This window comes from Homo sapiens, chromosome 8 (genome assembly GCF_000001405.40).
Source record: "Homo sapiens chromosome 8, GRCh38.p14 Primary Assembly".
Classification (NCBI taxonomy): Eukaryota; Metazoa; Chordata; class Mammalia; order Primates; family Hominidae; genus Homo; species Homo sapiens.
The window spans coordinates 61,440,915-61,462,035 of record NC_000008.11 but is presented as its reverse complement, the minus strand read 5'-3'; the positions used below and the strand labels follow the sequence as shown (position 1 = coordinate 61,462,035).

The following is a 21,121-nucleotide window of genomic DNA, read 5'->3' as shown; positions in this document are numbered from 1 at the left end:
AACCATTTCCTCGCTAATCCCATGATCCTTATAAAACCCAGATCTTATTATGTCATTTCTCTGCTTAACTATGAATGTTGAGGAAATAAAGATGAAAACAAAATGACATGGCGTTTTCCCATCATAAGATTATCATTAAAATTAAAGTCTGGTCATATCAAGCATTTTTCCAGGGTATGGAGAAGAAGGTTCTCATAGACAGCTGGGAGTATCAATTGGTGTCATTTGGAGGGCTTTTGAACAGTGTGAACTAAAACTTTAAAGGCACATACCCACCAACTACAGGGTTCTGAGTCTACTCAGAGGAACCTTCCTAAGAAAATGAAGGAGGTATACCAAAGACATTTATTGAATCTTGTTTAGAAAAGGAAAACCTCAAAAACCCAAATGCAAAGCAATGAGGAGATGGATAAACTGTGGTATATCCATGTTCTAAAATGGCATGCAGTATTAAACACATGGTCTATGAGGGGTCTTCACAAAGTTCATGGAAAACGCATATTATAAAAAATTATGCATGGAGTTCAAAAAATTTTTGTACCAAAATAAACTTGTGCTAACTTGTTATAGCATGTCTGAACACAATCTAGTTTGAGGCACTAAGAAGATAAGACATCAGAAACATCAGGTTTGACAAGAACCTCTATCAGAGCAACATGAGTTCTGCTAAAATTGAAGCAAGAACAAACATCAAATTTATGGTGAAGGTTGAGTAAAAACATTGTGAAATCACTGATGCTTTACAAAAAGTTAATGGGGACAATACCCCAAAGAAATCAGCAGTTTCCAATTGGATAACTCATTTTAGGAAGGGACAAGACAATGTTGATGGTGAAGCCCTCAGTTGTGGACATCAATTCATGTCAATTTTACATCATTTTGCCAGGAAAAAATTTGTCTTGTTCATGCCCTAATTTATCTTGTTCATGGACCAACCACTAACAGCACAAACAATAGCCAACACCACAGACACCTCAACTGGTTCAGCTTACACAATTCTGACTGAAAAATTAAAGTTGAGCAAACTTTCCACTTGGGTGCCAAAACCATTGTGCTCAAATCAGGAACAGACAAGAGCAGAACTTTCGATGGAAATTTTAAACATGTGGGATCAAGATTCTGAAGCATTTCTTTGAAGAACTGTAATAGGAGATGAAACGGTTTTACCAGTGCAATCCTGAAATCAAAGCACAGGCAAAGCAATGGTTACCAAGAGGTGGCAGTGCTCTAGTCAAAGCAAAAGTGGGCCAGTCAAGAGCAAAGGTCTTGGCAACAGTTCTTTGGGCTGGTCCAAGCATTTTGCTTGCTGACTTTCTGAAGGGCCAAAGAACAACAATATCTGCTTATCATGAGAGTGTTTTGAGAAAGTTAGCCAAAGCTTTAGCTGAAAAATTCCTGGGAAATCTTTCCCAGAGAGTCCTTCTGCACCATGACAATGTTCCTGCTCACTTCTCTCATCAAACATGGGCAATTTTATGAGAGTTTCAATAGGAAATTATTAGGCAACTACCTTTCAGTCCTGATTTGGCTCCTTCTGACTTCTTTTTGTTTTCTAATCTTAGTAATATTTCAAGGGCATCCATTTTTGTTCATCTAATGTAAAAAAGACTACATTGACATGGCTAAGTTCCTAGGACCCTCAGTTATTTAGGGATAAACTAAATGGCTGGTATTGTCACTCACAAAACTGTCTTGAACTTGATGGAACTTAGGCTGAAAAATAAGGTGTTTGTATATATACTTAATATGTATACACACATATATGAACTGATGTCCTTGAGCTATATAAGTTTATATTTTGAATTTTTATCTTTAATCTTATTTTTCCACAAATATTTTCAAGCCTCTTCATATGTCTAAATATACTGACGTGGAAAAACGTTTCATAACAATATGCTATGGGCTGAAGTCTTCCTCATCCCCAAGTTCATATGTTGAAGTACCTCAGAATATGACTATATTTGGATATATGACTTTTAAAGAAGCAATTAAGGTAAAACGAGGTTCTATGGGTGGGTCATAATTCAATACGACTGGTGTCCTTATAAGAAAAGGAGGTTAGGATAGAGGCAGACACACACAGAAGGAAAACCGTGTAAGGACGCATGGAGAAGGCAGCCATGTGCAAGCCAAGGAGAGAGGCCTCAGGAGAAACCAACCTTGCCAACACCTTGATCTTGCCCTTCCAACCTTCAGAACTGTAAGAAAATAAATTTCTGTTGTTTAAACCACCCAGTCTGTAGTAACTTATTACAGCAGCCCTAGAAATTATACAATATTAGATGTTTTTTATGGGTGTGTATAGATGTATGTGATGTATGGAAAACAGAATTACAAGGGCCCACCTCTACAGTGGTTACCATTTGGGAGGAAATGGGATTGAGACTGAGATTGAGAATAGTGGCTGAAGGGGATTTTAGTCTTAAAAAATCAGGTTTCACATCTTATGTTCTCACCGATGGGTGAGCTAAGCTATAAGGATGCAAAGATGTAAGAATACAATGGACTTTGGGGACTTGGGGGGAAGAGTAGGAGGGGGGCGAGGGATAAAAGACAACATATATGGTGCAGTGTATACTGCTCGGATGACGGGTGCACCAGGATCTCACAAATCACCACTAAAGAGCTCACCCATGTAACTGAATACCACCTGTACCCCAATAACTTATGGAAAAATAAAATAAAATTTTAAAAATCAGGTTTTAATTTTTATAATGAGAAAATACTCATTTATCAATCTTTTTAATCCCTCTTTTATGGCACTCCATTGACTACAGTATGCAATGGTCTTCACCACTTGGATCCAACTGTTTTTGGAGCTTTATTTCATGTCCAGTCCCATCTCCCACCCTTGCACGCCTTTTTACCACACTAGATTATTCCATCACTCTAATACCTACATGCCTCAGTCTGTCCACTCTGCTTGGATTGCTATATGCCATTTCCCAAGCCTCGGTTGCTGGTCTCCAGAGCTCAGACTGAATGTCGCCTGCTTTATAAATATGCTGCAAAAGTCTTACTTGGAAGATTCCCTGAGGCATACTTCTCTGTTCTTTTGACATCTTATTCTCATTTGTACCTCTTGTCCCTAATCAGTGCTGCAGCCCAGTAAATTCTCAATAAATGGTTCCAAATAAATGAATGATAGGAACATTTTTTAGCAGGTTGTTTTTCCACCTAGTGTATCTCAAAGGTCCAACATTTTATTCTGTGTGTATTAACAAACACCCTGAAGACCAGGGCTATAATTGTGGCATGAGTGAAGTCCTAGCCTTTAACTATTCCTTTGATACAATGGGGACAACTATAGTGCTGGGCCAGCCAAGCCCCATTTGTTTTCAGTTTTAGTGAAATCAGCTGAGAATGCATTGCAATTTATTTTATTCAAGTTCTCTGCCCATAAAGGTCTTTAATTAATAATTCACAATAGGTCCAAATAAAAAATTCCATTGACCTCTGACTGGGGGGGGGGCTCTGATAACCCAGGCCTTACCTTTTCATCAGCTTGGGTGAGCATTCTCTCTCCAGATTCGAGGACGTATGCTTCACGTGCATTGCATTATAGGATGTGTGAGTATAGTCATTTTCATCGCTGTAGTCGGGACCGAGTAACGTCCGGGCCCAAGTTCCCATGTCATAAGGAGGAAGAGTTCCTCCAAATTCAGAGGGCAAAAATTCAGGGTGTATTAGCTGGTGAAGGCTGTTTAAATTGTTTCCATGCAGGAAAATCTGTAAAGAAAACAAAAAGTAATTAGCAATACAAAATCCAAAACATACGACCAAAGATTTCATCTAATACACAATTTAGCCATGACAAATTGGATGCACTGCTGGTGATCACAGTGTTTAAAGAGGCATTGATTTTGTGACTGTAGCTTAGTCTTCATAAAATGTTAATTTATTGCTTAGAAAAGGGGCTGAATTAATAGTCATTAAAAATGAAGTTTATGAACAGATTGAGCATTACTTGGCTGTGGGCCAAATTTACACATACAGTCATCTCCTAATTATCCCTGCTGGTAAAAGGAGTGATGGTGCAGACCACCTGAAACCCCAGCTATTGCTGGATCTCCAGACTGCTCTGCTCTCCCATCTGTGTGCTCTCACCCAGTCCTCCAGATCCTTCCCCCCTTCCCTGGCCTAGACAAAGTTGCAGCTTCTTCCTAATTCGCCCTGGTGATAACTGCCTATTCTGCTTCTTTCCAACCACCCTCTAATTAATTCTTCAGTATCTGCTGACTGCCGACTTCTGTTTTTGTTTGTTTGTTTGTTTTTCTGATATGTTCATTTACGTCTTGTTTCCCCACGGGGGAAAATATCTAGAGAAAAAGTTGGTGTTTTCTTACTCCTTTAAAATGCTTCTTAGCTCCTAGGGTGATGTGGGCACAAGGTAGAAGAAAATCAATTCTTATTTAATGGAATCAAAAACCACAGCCTGAGAAGTTATCGTGAGATATTTTTGCTGCAATTTTCCATTTTTGTCTGGATTGGGGACATAGTGATAAAAACTGGTCAAGCAGGAGAGAAGGCACACCTCCAAGTTACAATTATTTCCAGACAAATCTACAAAGTGGATGAGACATGAATAGATAATTAGCACTGACTACAATTTAGGAGTTGACTCTGAAAGGTGACTTAAAGTCCATCCATGTACTGATGTCAGTTCCCACACTTCTTCATGTTGCAGGCATAAAGTAATTATGTGTAACACATAAGGTGCACCCAAGTATAGGATCATCAGGTATACACACATGCATGCACATATACATACAGTATAACCATGATGAAATATAAACGTGGGCCACGTGCAGTGGCTTGTGCCTGTAATCCCAGCACTTTGAGAGGCTGAGGAGGGCAGATCACCTGAGGTCAGGAGTTCGAGACCAGCCTGGCCAACATGTTGAAACCCTGTCTCTACTAAAAATACAAAATTAGCTGGGCATGGTGGGGCACGCCTGTAATCCCAGCTACTCAGGAGGCTGGAGAAGGAGAATCACTTGAACCCAGGAGGCGGAGGTTGCAGTGGGCTGAGATCACGCCACTGCACTCCAGCCTGGGCAACAGAACAAGACTCCAACTCGGGAAAAAAAAAATCTATATGTATTTTTTTTTTTTTTTGAGACGGAGTCTTGCTCTGTTGCCCAAGCTGGAGTGCAGTGGTGCAATCTCGGCTCACTGCAAGCTCCCCCTCCCAGGTTCATGCCGTTCTCCTGCCTCAGCCTCCTCAGTAGCTGGGATTACAGGCACCTGCCACCACGCCCAGCTAATTTTTTTGTATTTTTTAGTACAGACGGGGTTTCACCGTGATAGCCAGGATGGTCTCGATCTCCTGACCTCGTGATCCGCATGCCTCGGCCTCCCAAAGTGCTGGGATTACAGGCGTGAGCCACCGCGCCCAGCCTATATGTGATTTTTAAAATACTTACATAGAGGACCTCAATAATAAACACTTGCTACCTTGTTCTATTGTATTGATTTTAACTCATGATGTAATGACATCATTTAAAGATGAAGGGGACAAGAAGTGCTAATTCTTCAGAAAACTACTGGAGAACTTCAGAAAGTATATCAAAATATCAAAATTTCTGATATTGCACTTGAGTATGACTGAATTTTAATAAGAATTATTTCTTTTGAAGAAAGTCACTTTTCTGGCTTTTATAAAACTTTTCAGAGGGTTTGTATATGAAACATGCTGGAGCGAAATATCAGCCCTGGTGTTTAGAGAAAACATTTGTACCCCTCCACCCAACATGTCCAGTTTTTGAAAGACAAAGAGTGCCATTAAAGGTGACCTTCCCTTCTGGGGGTCTTGTGGAATGGAGGAATGCAGAAGGAGGAGGCTGGACCCTCTACCTCTTAGAATCTATCCTGTGCCCAAAGCTCCAAAAATGCCCACCTATGGCATGGCAGCAAGTGTCCACCGTGGGAGGAATTCTCTCTCGCTCCAACCTGAATAGAAGAATAAGTTGCTGGAAAGCCTGAAGCCATGTTGAGAACAGTCCTAGAACACTTCTCTGTTCTTAGCACTGTCCTGAGCCCCAGATGGGTTTTAAAACATTTCTGTCTTGTGATCCCAGTGAGTTCTAATTCCTGGTTTCAAACTTGTTTGAGAACAGGGAAATTACCCCTGCTCTACCCCATTGCAATGCTCTCTAAAGGACCTGGAAGCATCTGAGATCTAGGAGTTAGAAACCCTGCAGAGTGTGGGAGGTGGCGGGGAATCCCTCACATTATCAGTCCCTCCTGAATACTCAGAGCTATTCCCTAGTGTCAGGCACCCTGGGTGTCAGGAAAAGGTGTTGTAGGATTACCCTAGCCAGGTTCCCATAAGGAGTGGTGTTCCTGACCCAGGAGGTAGCTGAAAATAGAAAGTCTCAAAGATAAGACTGTAGCATTATTCATAATAGCCAAGATATGGATACAACCTAAGTGTCCATTAACAGATAAATGGATATATACCGAGAGGAATACTATGCAGTCTTAAAGAAGAATGAAATCCTGTCATTTTCAACAATGTGGATGAACCTAAAGAACAATTATATTAACAAAAATAAGCCAGACACAGAAAAACAAATACTGCATGATCACACTTATATGTGGAATCTAAATAAGTTGAAATCATAGAAGTATAGAATAGAAGGGTGGTTGCCAGGAGCTGAGAGTAGGGGGAAATGGAGAGACACTGGAAAAAGAGGACAAAGTTTCAGTTATATAGGATGAGAATAGATTTTGGAGACCTAATGTACAGTATGGATACTGTAATAAGTAATAATATTGTATTGTTTATTTGAAATTGGCTGAGTAGATCTTAAGTGTTCTCACCACACACACACACACACACACACACACACACAAATCATAATTATAGGAGGTGATAGATGTGTTAATAGCTTGATTGTGGTAATCATTTCACAATGCATAGGTATATAAAAACATCACATTGAACACCTTAAATATATCCAATATTTAGTTGTCAATTATACCTTAATAACACTGGGAAAAAAAGAAAAGAGAGCTAAATGGTAAAGATAAATAAAAGTCAACAAGTCTCATGATGTACCAACTGCATCATGATACATGTTTTCATTAGCTGTCTCATTAGATTTCCCCAACAACTCTGTGATGTGGGTGTTAGATTCCGCAATTTATAAATGAGAAAATTGAGATTCAGAGTGGTTAAGGAATGTTCAGTTACTCAGCTCATCAAAATGCCATGAAAAAGCCCAACTCTGATTGATGGAAAAAGCTGGCTTCCCAAGTGTTATCAATTGATATAATTAAGGCTGTAAAAGCCTTCCTCATAAGAGCAGTGTTATTTCCAAAGAAGAATGCTTTTCCAGCTTTACAGGTGATGCAGTTAGCAGTTATCACCCAAAGTTATGGGAGGAAGAAAAATTGTAATCATTCTTCATAGCACTAATACATTTGCAGAACAAAATGCTAGCTACTAAAACATTTTATGAACAGGAAAGCTGCTGGACCCAGTATCTCCCATAAGAATTTACAGTAACATGGGCATCTGGTATTTGCATGCCTTCAAAGTTTCTTTTGGTTTGTCACTGGGACTCCGAAAATAACCCAGTTCTACTGAATTATTAATTAAACCCAGGCCATTTGCAAACTCCAGCTGAGGCTTAAATGCTTAGGGGCTGTAGAAAAACCACAGTGAAAGATAAAGAGAGAAAGAGAGAAAAAGGGGGGAAAGGAGAGAGGAGGGGAGAGAGAAAATAGAAGCACCAAAATTGTACCAGGAATTTACATGATGCATTTGTTTTCATTACCCGTTTCCTGGTCTTGTCTTTAAGAAATGGCTTGATGAGTGTGTAGAGGGCATGAATGTACCAGGGCTGGTTGACAAAGTGGACTCCTCCAAAGCGGGCAGGAAAGCTGTCCTGGGGCAGAAAGAGAGAAATGCACACCGATTAGTAAGCACACCTTGTTAGACTGGACCAGCAGGACCAATGCCCCAAAGAACAACCTGTTTTTCCTGCCTGGTAGAAGCTCTAGCTTCAGGATGAGGAGAGGAAGAAAACACACTCACTTCCTAATTGTTAAGGATGTCTTTATTCCCCTTGTCTCCCTTCTCTCCCTTTGACTCCATGCATAACTTTAAAATTGTGCATGGGTTCCAGGCCTGTCTTTTTCAAATCACAGTTACATGACCTTCTACTTGGCACAGAAGCTCATGCAGCCTGAGGAGTGAGGGGAATCTGAATTCTTCATTGCGTTAGGTAACGAAGGCTTACAGGCTCTCAGCACAAGATCTCTCTCTTTATCCTCATTTCCACTCTCCCGCTCCCACCCTCTCCACCGGCTTAATCATGACAGTAACTGAACTTTCTGGGTGAGTGAGTGCTGGCTGTGTAGGAAGTAGTTGCAAAAGGATTTCAAAGGCTCTTAGGAGATGGAGCTCTGTGGAATCAACCAAATGCTAACAAGGTTATAACAACTTTTTCACACATTGCAGTACTAGCTCCAGTGCACCCTGGGGCACATAGTAGATCCTAGGGAAAAGATACTTGTTGATTAATGGGCTAGCTGATTCCGCTAGTTGAGGGAATATGAGCACCCTTTTCTGCAGATCAACCTATTTCGTAAATAATAGGAAGTAAGAGCATTTAAGAAAAACGATTCCAAATTTAGAATCCAGATCAGGGCATTAGAATCCAGATCAGCTTATGTTTTAGATGCTAGGAAGCTGCTCTCGGTGCTAATTAGATCTACAGAACAGGGGACCATGGCCAGAAAGTCTGAGCTAGTCTTATAAGACCAGGTCCCGAGATCTCCCAATGAATGGCTTCAGCAGATTGGGTTCATCTCAGTTAATAGAATTAAAAAAGAAGGAATCTCTAAACGCTGTATGAATCGTCAAGTTTGCTATCAATTTCATTGCCACAAACATCTTTGTATGTACCCTAAAACTTAAAGTATAATAAAAAAAAAAATGTTAGCAAGATGAGATGAAAGCCGAGGGAGTCTGGCTGGCGGAGGAAATGGTTCAGCAGCGAGCTGCTCCCTGCGGGTATATGAGATGCCTCACCCGGGTCGTTTTTAGTAACAAGGAAAAAAGGTTATTAACTTTTTTTCAGAGCCCTTTGAGTCTACAGGATCCCCAGGCATCTTCCATGCCAAGACCTAGTTTCCAGTGTGAGTACATGAAACTGCACTTAAGGGTTGCCATTTGAAAAACTTTAAAAATAATTTTTTCCTCTACCTAGACATTTTAGAGTAGAAAGGTGCTAAATATTTTGAAGGCTAAACTGGACAATATCAGTAAAAGGCCTTTGCCTTCAGAATATGTATATATGTTTTGTTTTGTTTCTTTTATTTTCAAAAACTTAACAGAACAAGTGTAGGGCTAGAGAGATCATTTACACTAACTTGCTATTCCAAAACTAATTGAAGAAATGTAAAGATTCTTAATAAGGTTATCTTTTTTCCTCCAGGTATAGTTTAGGATCTAAAAGTTTTTTGGTTCCTTAAAAAAAGAGACCATTCCCGAAAGTGTTTCCTTTATAATAAGCGCTATTCACTATCATCACTTCTTTTGGCTCCTTTTAACTTCTTATTTAGAAGTAGAATTCATTATTTCACATACTAAATGTGGTTCTGAGGGGTGACAGAAGAAGAATAAGAAACAAGCATTTATTTATAAAACCAGGGCTTCACTATCTTTTTAATGGGACCAATAAGAGGTTTATTTCTATTGATGGTGTGTTATATAGTTCTAGGTTACTGAAGTGGAACTCTAAATAATACTTGACAGTAGGCAAAGTTGCAAAATATTAACCTTTTAAAATATCTAGACATTCTTAGTTTTAGTTTATGAAGCCTCAATCATCAAAGACATCAAAAACTATCTTCTGATTGTGTCAGGGGAGGTTGAAAGAAAAATTACAGTGCTGAGACTCTGTAATTACTCTCTATATTATCCCTGGTTGATGATTCTGCCAGATTGAAGGCATGGGCTTTCATTGATCTGACTCAAGTCATCCAGTGAATATGTGCAGACAAACACATGTGAACCCTGTGTCTAGAAGTTCTGAGCTTGCACCAGAATAGAAACAGAATCATTTTTATTCAGGTACTTCCTATACAAGTCACATGAAAGGCCTTCTGTCTGATAAAGGCAATGTGCAGATGTTCTGGGTCTTCTTGAATGAGCCCAGCCATGCTACTCTCTGTTCTCTCTCTCTCTCTCTCTCTCTCTCTCTCTCTCTGTGTGTGTGTGTGTTTTGTACAGAGGGGAAGGTGAGGGAAGGGAAAATCAGCAAACACACCCCTCTCATGGTCAACACATCATTATTGGTTGCCTCTTGCCTGATCACATCCGCCAACTGCAGACAAAAGGGAAGTTGTCAGTCACACAAAAGTCTCCCAGAACCCCAAGAGGCCTACCGCCCTCCTGGAAGAGCATTTCTTAAGGGCTAGAGCAGATGTATCTCAAGATCATAGGCCTTGGTTCAATGACAGTGTAACACTTTGTCTTTCAGTGTTCTTGGAGACTAAAGAGCATCATGCACCAACATACTCTAAGTTCAAGAAAATGGCATTAATCCTGTACATTTATACCTTTGTCAATAAAATATAACATCATTTTAAATTTTAAACATATTCAAATCATAAAAATGTGTCTGCCCCCCAGTTTAAGTTAATTTTGTTTCCTTATTATAAACTATACACATTCTACAAAAGTAAAAAATAGATAAAAACATTATTTGAAAAAATACAAAATATGAGAAGATAAGAAAAAAGAAAAGAAAAAGCCCCTATAATCCTACTGCCAAAGACACACTCTTACTATTTTCTATTATTCAGGATGGGTTATGTAATGTTATAGTAACAAATAACCCCTGCTTTTTTTTTAATCATTTTAAACAGTAAAGATTGATTCTTTGTTAACATTAAATGTCTTGCTTGATTTTTGTCTTTCCTGATTAATTTCCTGCTCACACTAAATGTCCTGCCCTGCTTGATTTGCCTGCAGCCAGAGATGCAGCCTCCTCCATCTGGAGCAGTGCTGCTTGACATAGCCCAGGAAAACCACATGGAAGAATCATACCTAAGCTCTTAAAGCTGGCTCCGAAAGTGACATGCTTCATCTGCCGTATTTTAAAGGTCAAACTCATGCCTGGCTTCCAGGGGATCAGAAAGTAAAATCTACCATGTTTCCAGTAAGAAAAGGACCAAAAGTATTGGTGAATAGCAGTAATAATTACCCAAACTCTGCCAAACCTTCACTTCTCTTTTTTTCTGTCCTTTTTAAATGTGATCATTTTTTAATTGAATGTAATAACTATTTTTGATGGCCTACAGTATGTCTCACTTAATGCATTGAAAAATACAAATATAGAGTCTTCAGGGCAGTGGGGACAACTGAAAACAGCAATTATATAATGATATGTTTAGTGTATTCAATTCTTGCCTTAACAATTAGTTCACGTCTTGCACGTCTTCAATTCAGCACATATTTATGAGTATCTACTACATGACGAACAGTTGGCATATTCTTTAAAGTGTACTTTAGTGACCAGGGCCCTCTGTGATTTTTATCCCCTTTCTTGCCTTCTCTAACCAGTTCTACTCACATCCTACACTGCTGAGGTTAGTAGCTTTCATTTTATGGCAATATCATTTTATGGTGATTTCATTTTATGTAAAGTTGCAACCTCTCAAAAAAATGAAGCCTGTAAACCTTAGATAAGCATAAGTTTTTTTTGCTTTTTAAAAAACTTATTATTTGATTCAAAGTTCCATTTAATTCATAGTCTCAAATGCCACAGCAAAGGAAGAGTTGTGGTAAGTTTACCCTCAGTTAGGTGGTGCAGCCCAACTTTACTCAATTTTTAGACTCCATTTAAGGCTGCTTCATTCTCTTCTTCTAATGTTTTATGTTTTCAAATTTAAAACACATCACTCTTCCCATAGAGCCTCTGAGATGAGAGCATAATACCATGATCTAGCAAAAAGGTGTCCTCTTGAGGGGTCTCACAGCCACTCTTCTGCTGCAACAATGGAGTTCTGCATGTACAGTGGTAACTGAAGGTCCCAAGTGTATTTCAAGATTTTCTCATAAAATATGATTATTAATTTCCTCCTTGTGCAAAGATGAAGTAGTCATACATTCCCCTATTTCTTTGGCTAAGTACAACTAAGACCTGGATAGTGTGTATAAAATAAACATATGAAGACTTCAAAGGTGGAGAGAAGAAGACAAATCAGCTAGGGACTCTGAGATCAAGGAAGGACACAATAGAGAGTTTCCCAGAATTCCTTTTATTTAGCTCTATGTATCAAAGTCTTGGGACAGAAGAAGGCAGTACCTGGAAAAACCAACTGGTGCAGACAACAAATAAATCAATAAAAAGCAACTAAAAAAAAGGCTGCTCTTTAATGAAATGACTAGTAACAGGCAGTCTAGCAAAATAGATAATATTTAGATAGTAGCTGCTCTATGCCAGTCAAACATCACAGGAAAAAACTGTGGTCCCTTCCTAACCATGCTAGCAAAGTCTGAGTGGGCAGCCTGATCTTCACCCTAGCAAGGCTGTAACAAGATGCATAACATCCCTGCCAGAGTAATGTTATAGAAGGCCAAGTAGAGAGCCAGAACTTTTATTCTTCCTAGCCAATAATGAGACCCTATTTCACACTGGCAGTGTCAGTGGAGACCATGTGGGTAAACTGGACTTCCTCCCCCACCTGTCAGTAATGAGAATCCCTTCCCTTTCTCCACTGATGGTGTTGGAAGGGGACTAATTGACAGTCAAGACTTTAATCATTGTCCAGTGTTAATGAAACCACTACCACCACAGTGTCAGTGGAGACCATGTGGGGAGCCAGAACTCCCACTCCTGCCCACCAGTAATGAGGAGGCCCTCCCTACTTGGGTGTCAACAGAGGCTGAGTGAGGAACATGGACTTCTACCTCTACTTGGTAATGATGAGGCAGCACACCCCACTTTCACTGCCAGAGTGGTGTCAAAAAAAAAAGCCAGCTAAAACAAAAGGTTTACATTAGATCCAGAGTTTCAGGACATAATACAGAAATGTCCAGATTTTAAAAAATCACTCTTTATACCAAGAATCAGAAAGATCTCAAATTAAATAAAAAATGACAGTCAATAGAGGACAACACCAGATGACAGAGGTGTTAGCATTATCTGACAAAGATTTTAATTTAGCCATCACGAACAATGTTTCAACAGCAATTATGAACATGTATGATGCAGATGAAAAAGTAGTTTTAGAAAGGAAATAGGAATTGATAGCAAATAAATATAAAATAGAAAAAAGAACCATATGGATTTTTTTTTTTTTTGAGAGAGAGGGTCTCACTATGTTGCCCAGGCTGGTCTCAGACTCCCGGCCTCAAGTGATCCTTTTGCCTCAGCCTCCCAAATTCCTGGGATTACAGGCATGAGCCACTGTGCCTGGCTCATCTGGAAATTTCAAACTGAAAAATAACTTAAAAAGTCCAATAAAAAGCTTAGCAGATGGGCTGAACATCAGAAAAGAAGTGACAGAAGAAAGAATCAGTGAACTGAAAGATAGAAAAAAATAGGAATTACTTAACCTGAACTACAGAGAGAAAATAGACTAAATGAATGAAGAAACCTTCCTTTTTGGGGTCTATAACAAAAAAATCTAAAATTTGTGTCATTGGAGTCCTTAAAAGGAAGGAGAGAGATCGAGGCTGGAAAAGTACTTAAGAAAATAATGGCTGAAAACTTCCATAATTTAGAAAGAAACATAAACCTACAGATTCAAGAAGCTGAGTGAATACCAAACAGTATGAACTCAAATAAATTGATGCCAAGACATATCATAATTATATTTTTGAAAGCTCAAGACAGAATATTGAAGGTATACAGAAAAAAAAACAATATATTGACTCTTGAGGAAAACAAATGAAATAACAACAGATTTCTCATTAGACACCATGGAAGCCAGAAGAAGATGTAAAATATTTTTCAGGTACTGAAAAAAAGGAACTGTCAACCCAGAATTCTAGTAAAAATGCTCTTCAAGAATCAAGAGAAATCAAGAAATTCTCAGGTTAAGGAAAACTAAGCAAATTTGTTGCCAGTAGATTTATTCTAAAAGCATAGCTCAGTTCTCCTAAACAGGAAGGAAATTATAAAATAACCTTTCCACAAACAGAAAGGAAATGATAAGAGAATTTTCGAATCATCAGGAAGGAAGAATACAGTAAGAAAACTATAGGTAAGTACTATGGGTTTTTCTTTTCCTCTTGAGTTTTCTAAATTGTCTTTGATAGTTGAAGTAAAAATTATGATACTCTGATGTGGTTCAAAGATGTATGTAGGGGAGGAAATATTTAAGACAATTATATTATAAATTAGTGAGGAAAAAGGGATGGTAAGTTTTCCATACTTCACTTGAACTGGTGAAATGACAACATAAAAGACTATAAGTTATGAATGCATGACATAATACCTAGAACAATCACTAAAAAAACTACATGAAAAGATATATTTAATAATACTATAGATAAATAAAAACAATTTGAAAAGGAAGTACAAGTAACCCAGAAGAAGGCAGGAAAGACAAAATAGAGAAAGGCAGAACAGAAAGAACAAATAGAAAAAAAAATTAGAATGGCATACTTAAGCTCTAACATAACAATAATTAATTTAAATATAAATGATCTAAGTATACCAATTAAAAGAGATTAGCATAGTAAATTAAAAAACATGATCTGCTATATATGCTGTCCATAAGAAACTCACTCCAAATATAAATATATAGGCTGCAACATATGCAAAGCAAAAGCTAGTAGAACTGGAAAAAGAAATAGACAAATCCACAATTATTGTTGGGGACTTGAATATCACTCTCTCAACAACTGATAATCTTTTAGACAGAAAATCAGCAAGGATATAGAAGAACTCAACATCATTAATCAGCAGAAGTCAATTGATATTTATAAGATACTTCACCCCAAAACAGAAGAATATACTTTGTTTTTCAAGTGCACATAGAACATACACAAAGATAAACAATACCTAAGTCATAAAACAAACCTCAACAAATTTAAAACCAGTGAAATAATACAGATTATTCTGTTTATAATGGAATCAAACTAGAAATCAATAATAGATAAGAGGAAAATCTTTGATCACTTGGAAACTACACAACACAGTTCTAAATAACCCATGGATGGGCCAAAAAAAAAAAAAACCTTCAAAAGAAATTTTAAAATACATGGAACTGAATGAAAATGAAAGTAAAGCACTATGGTTTGAATGTTTTTTTCTCCCTTGAAACTCATGTTGAAACTTACTCCTTAATGTGGCAGTACCGAGAGGTGGGGACAGTATTGAGAAGTGATTGGGTCATGAGGGCTCTGTTCTCATGAATGAATAAAACCATTTGTAGACCAATGGATTAATGAGTTATCAAGGGAGTAGGACCGGTGGCTTTCTAAGAAGAGGAAGAGAGATTTGAACTACCATGCTCAGCCCACTCAACATGAACTGCCCTATGCCACTCTGGGATGTTACATAGTCCCCACCAGCAAGAAGGCCCTCAACAGATACAACCTCTCAACTTTGGACTTCTCAGCCTCCATAATGGTAAGAAATACATGCCTTTTCTTTATAAATTACCCAGTTTCAGGCATATTGTTATAACAACAGAAAACAGATCAAGACATAGGACATATCAAAATTTGTGGGACACAGCTAAGGCACTGTTGACAGGGAAATTTGTAGCATTAAATACATATTTCTTTATTAAACAGAAAAGTCTTGAATCAATAATCTAAGCCCCTACCCCAAGAACTTGGAAAGAGAAGAGCAAAATAAAGCCAAAGTAAGCATAAAAAGAAAATAATAAAGGTAAGAGCAGAAACTGATAAAATTAAAAATAGAAAAATAATAAAATCTATGAAACAAAGAGCTGATTCATTGAAAAGATCAATAAAATTAACAAACTATTAGCAAGTTTGACAAGGGAACAAAAAAAGAAGTCACAAATTACCAACATTAGGAATGAAATAGGGCATACTACTATAGACCCTGCAGACACCAAAAGGATAAGCCGGGAATACTATAAAGAACTCTACATGCACATATTTAACAACTTAGAGGAAACAGATCAATTTCTCATAAAATATAAACTACTTCTCCAATATGAAAGGTAATTTGAATAGCCCTATAACTGTTAAGAAAATTAAATGTGTGATTTATAAATCTACCAAGAATAAAAGTTCTGGCTCAAATGATTTTACTAGGAGATTCCACTGAACTTTTACAGAAGAATTAACACTAATTTTACAGAGTCTCTTTCAGAAAATAGAAGTGAAGGTAACACTTTCCAGTTGGTTTATGAAGCTAGTATTACCTTTGTCTTAGTCTGTTTTGCTAGAAATACCTGAGATCAAACAAATTATAAAAAAAAGGAGGTTTATTTGGCTGATGGTTCTGCAAGCTACATAAGAAACATGGTGCCAGCATCTGCTTCTGGTGAGGGCTTCAGGGAGCTTCCACTCATGGCTGAAGGTGAAGGGGAGCAGGTATGTAGAGATCACATGGCAGGAAGTGAGAGAGAGAGGGGAGGGAGGTGCTAGGCTCTTTATAAGAATCAGATCTCCCAGGAACTAGAGTGAGAAGTCATTACCATGAGGACCAAGCAGTTCATGAAGGATCCACCCCCATGACCCACTAGGCTCTGCCTCCATCAATTTGGAGTGGACAAATATCCAAATTATATCAATCCTTATGTACCCAAACAAGATAAAAACAGAATGAAACAATAAAATTATAGATCAATATCATTCATGAATACAGATGTAAGAACTCTTAATGAAATATTAGCATGTAGACTTCAACAATATATAAAAAAGAATTAGACACTATGATCAAATTGAGTTTATTCCAGAGATGCAAGGCTAACTTATATTATAGAAATCAATGTAATTGTATTAATCATGTTTTCTAGTTTCTATATTTAATGCTTTGACATCTGAGGTCTTCTGGACCAGGGAGGAGCTGCCCCAACTAGTTGATTCCCAGAGATAACAAATGACTAGCCTGGGAGCTCCCCTTTCATATGCAAACTGACCAATCTAGCACCCATACTTCCAACCACCTCCTTTGGGCTCCTATGCTCTGGGCCACTATTCCCTTACCCTAATCACCCCAGGGTCAGTTACTAGACAACTAGCAACAACACCTACCCACAAGGGTCCACCAAAATGATTCAGACTAGCCAATCAATCCTAAACTTGCTGAGACTTCATTCCCAGCCTTACCCATTCTTTCCTATGAAAATCACAATAAAGGCTCTTGCCCAAGTTCTCTACTCACTCCGCTGCCTCCTGACTAACCTCGGGGCTTTCCCATGTGACTCCATTCTGTAGTGTGGAATGCTCCCTGTTTCTAGGGATCTGTGAGTGTAACAAACTTATCATAGCAGTTACTCCATGTCTGCCTGTCTTACTGTATCTGATTAAAACAAATTCCTGGTACTTTCGCAATAGTAATTCATCATATTAACAAGCCAAAGAAGAAAAGTCATGTGATCATATCTACTGATACATAAAAAGACTTTGGCAAAATTCAACACTGATTCATGTTAAAAATGCTCAGAAAAATAGAATTGGAGAGGAACCTTCTAAACGTGATTTTAAAACATCTGCCAAAAACCTGTATCTAATGTTATACTTTATGGTGAAAAACTGAATGTTTTTCCCCAACAACAGGAACAAGACAAGTGTATCTGATCTCATCACTCTTATTCAACACATGCTGGAAGCTCCAGTTACAGCAATAAGACAAGAAAAGAAACCAAAATGCTTACAGATTAAAAAGGAAAAAATATAGCTGTCTCGATTTGCAGATAACATGACTGTCTACATTAAAAAATCCCAAGGAATCTATAAAAGTACCTTTCCTATAGCTAACTAATGAGTTTATCAATGTTGCAGGATTTAAGATAAATATAAAAAAATTATATTTCTCTATACCAACAATAAATATGAAGACACCAAAATTAAAAATACATTACTATATATAATTGCTCAAAATATTAAATACTTAAGTGTAAATCTAACAAAACATATTTAGAATTTGTATGCTGAAAATTACACATTTCTGATGAAAGAAGTAAAAAAAGATCCACCTAAATGGAAGACATATGTTTGTAGATTTTAAGATAATATATATGTTAATTCCCCTCAAATTGGTAAACAGGTTTAATGCAACATCCATCAAAATCCAAGTAAGAATTTTATTTTTGCAGATATTGATAGAATTATTTAAAAATTTTTATGGAAAACATAGGCCCTGGAATAGTTAAAATAATTTTGAAAAAGAATAAAGTGGAAGGAATTATTCTACCAAATTTCAAGGTTTATCATGTAGTTATAGCAATCAAGACTGGGTGGTATTTGTGGAGGAAAAGATATATAGATTAAGGGAACAGAATAGAGGACCCAAGAATAGAATCACACAAATGCTCAAGTGGTTTTTGACTAAGGTATAAAAGCACTCCAGTGGCATAAAGATAGTTTTCAACAAATGGTGCTGGAGCAATAGGACATCCACAGAGAAAACAAAAAACAAAAAAATACCTGACTTAACCTTCACACCTCATACAAAATTGATTCAAAAATTAACTCATGAATTTAAATGCAATAAAACCATAAAACTTTTAGAAAGAAAGAAACATAGGAAATAATCTTCAATATCTAGGACTGGCAAGAGGTTCTTAGACTTGCCTCCAAAAGCATGATCCATAAAACAAGTAAAAAGACAATAAGTTGGTTACTGCAAAAATTAAAAACTTGCTCTGTGAAAGCTCATGCGAAGTAGATGAAAGCAAAAACTGTAGACTGAGATAACGTATTTGCAAATTACATTCCAACAAAGGACAAGTATCTAGAATATATAATAAGCTCTCAAATATAACAGTATTGAAACAAGAAATCCAATGAGAATATGAGCAAAAACATGCCAGAAAATTTTACCAAAGAAAATATAAGATGTCAAATAAGTACATGAGAAGATATTTCACATCATTAACCATTAGTGAAAGGCAAGTTAAAACCACAATGAGATATCACACTACAAATCCATCAGAATGGCTTAAAAAAATAGTGACACCTCCGGCCAGGCACAGTGGCTCATGCCTTATAATCCCAGCACTTCAGGAGGCCAACGCGGGCGGATCACGAGGTCAGGAGTTTGAGACCAGTCTGGCCAATATGGTGAAACCCCATCTGTATTAAAAATACAAAAACTAGTCAGGGGTGGTGGCGTGTGCCTGTAATCCCAGCTACTCAGGAGGCTGAGGCAGGAGAATCACTTGAATCCGGGAGGTGGAGGTTGTGGTGAGCCAAGATCGCGCCACTGCACTCCAGCCTGGACAACAGAACAAGACTCCATCTCAAAAAAAGTGACACCTCCAAATGCTGGTGAGGATGTGGACAAGCTGGATTGCTCATACAATGATAGAAGTGTAATATGGTATAGGAACTCTGGAAGATAATATGGCAGTTTTCTAAAAACCAAAACATACAATGACCATATGACCCAGCAATTGTACTCCTGCGCATTTATTTCAGAGAAATAAAAACTTATGTTTACACAAAAACTGGTACAAAGACACTCACAGCAGCTCTATTTGTAATAAAAAGTGGAAACAACTCACATGTCCCTTAATAAAAGAATGGTTAAGCAAACTGGTACAGCCAGACCATGGAACACTGCTTGGCAATAAAAAAGAACAAACTGTCGATATCTACAACAACCTGGGTGAATCTCTGGAGAATTTTGCTGAGTAAAAAGGGAAATCCCCCCAAAATTACATACTCTATGATTCCATTTATATGACATTATTGAAATGATGAAATCATTATTGAAATGATGAAATTATAGAAACAGAACAGATTAGTGATTGCCAGGGGCTGAGTAGGTGGGGTTGAGGGAAGTGAGTGTGCCTATAAAAGGGTAACATGGGCCATCCTTGCAATGATGGAATGTTCTGTACCTTGATATACAAAAGAAGGATGGTCTTTTCTGCCTTACATGGAATGTTAAAAAAGAAACCAAAAAGTGCCATGATAAATTGCGAGGCACAAGATACATTTCAGTACATTCAGTCTCAGAATCTCTTGATTTTCTTTAGGAGTCTCAGACAGTGTTAAGTGATTCTTGCAATCCATTAGAAATGCACTTCATTTTTTAATGGGCACTTCGTTTGTACTTCATTTTCACACTGGCACTATACAAGCATCACTCAACTGCCTTGTTTTGTGTTCAATCAGAGTTCAGGAGCAACATAATATAGGCAAAAGTATTCCCTCTCTCTCTTCAACAATCAGATACAGATGTCACCCGTGGCCGTTGGCTCAGTTTCTGCTGGATAATGAAGGATTAACTAGTGCCATTTTCTAAGATTTGTAATGCTTGCAGGCTAACATACCTCACAACAAGGTTCAAAACATACCTGAACTCAATATCACCTTGCCTTGGGAAGCTTCTTTCACATTGGCTGCCCTTTATAACTCTCATCTCTCCTTATCTCTTCTTATTGCCCTTATGTGAAAACTAAAATGAGACCCCTCCAAGTTGCAAATACAACGAACTCCCTCCATCTACTAAGATTCCTCTGAGAAACAAATGTGGAGAAGAAAAGGGAGAAGATGACACAGGCGCTGACTTTGAAATCTTCTGTCTCCTTCCCTTTAGTGTAAGGGAGGACCGTCTTTCAGGGCTTGGGCGGAGGAGTCCTTCAGTCACATACCTGCATGCATGCAGATCTGCAGGTGGTATAAGCACACAGCATGAAGTTAGGCTTTATCTATTCAGTTCATGCATGCCCTACCAATGACATCCATTTCCCACATAGAAGAAGACAGGTTAAAAACATTTTCAGCAGCATAAGTGGGTTTCATCGATGCAAAAGAGTCTTCTAAGAATACTATATTTTATGGTGATGGGTTTCTCTTATACCGTGTGACAGTCATTAGTGAGGAAGTCACATATCCACCTATTTGAAAGAAAATGAAGTGCTCATGCAATAGCAGTTACACACCAAATGCTCTTTTTGTTATATTAACACAAGAGAGCAAACATAAGAGAGAAGAGAA

The 21,121-nt window shown here is 37.9% G+C and overlaps 1 protein-coding gene across 4 annotated transcripts in view; it reads right to left on the bottom strand.

The window, feature by feature from the left end:
- Window positions 1-21,121, bottom strand: part of CLVS1 (clavesin 1) — a 536,782-nt gene that overhangs the window by 39,594 nt on the left and 476,067 nt on the right. For all 4 annotated transcript variants that reach the window (XM_024447079.2, XM_017013141.2, XM_017013142.3 and 1 more), the window contains 2 exons: window positions 7,785-7,895; window positions 3,494-3,729 (listed from right to left, as the gene is read on the bottom strand). In XM_024447079.2, the coding sequence (XP_024302847.1) occupies window positions 3,494-3,729; window positions 7,785-7,895 (347 nt within the window). The remainder of the gene's footprint in view (window positions 1-3,493; window positions 3,730-7,784; window positions 7,896-21,121) is intronic.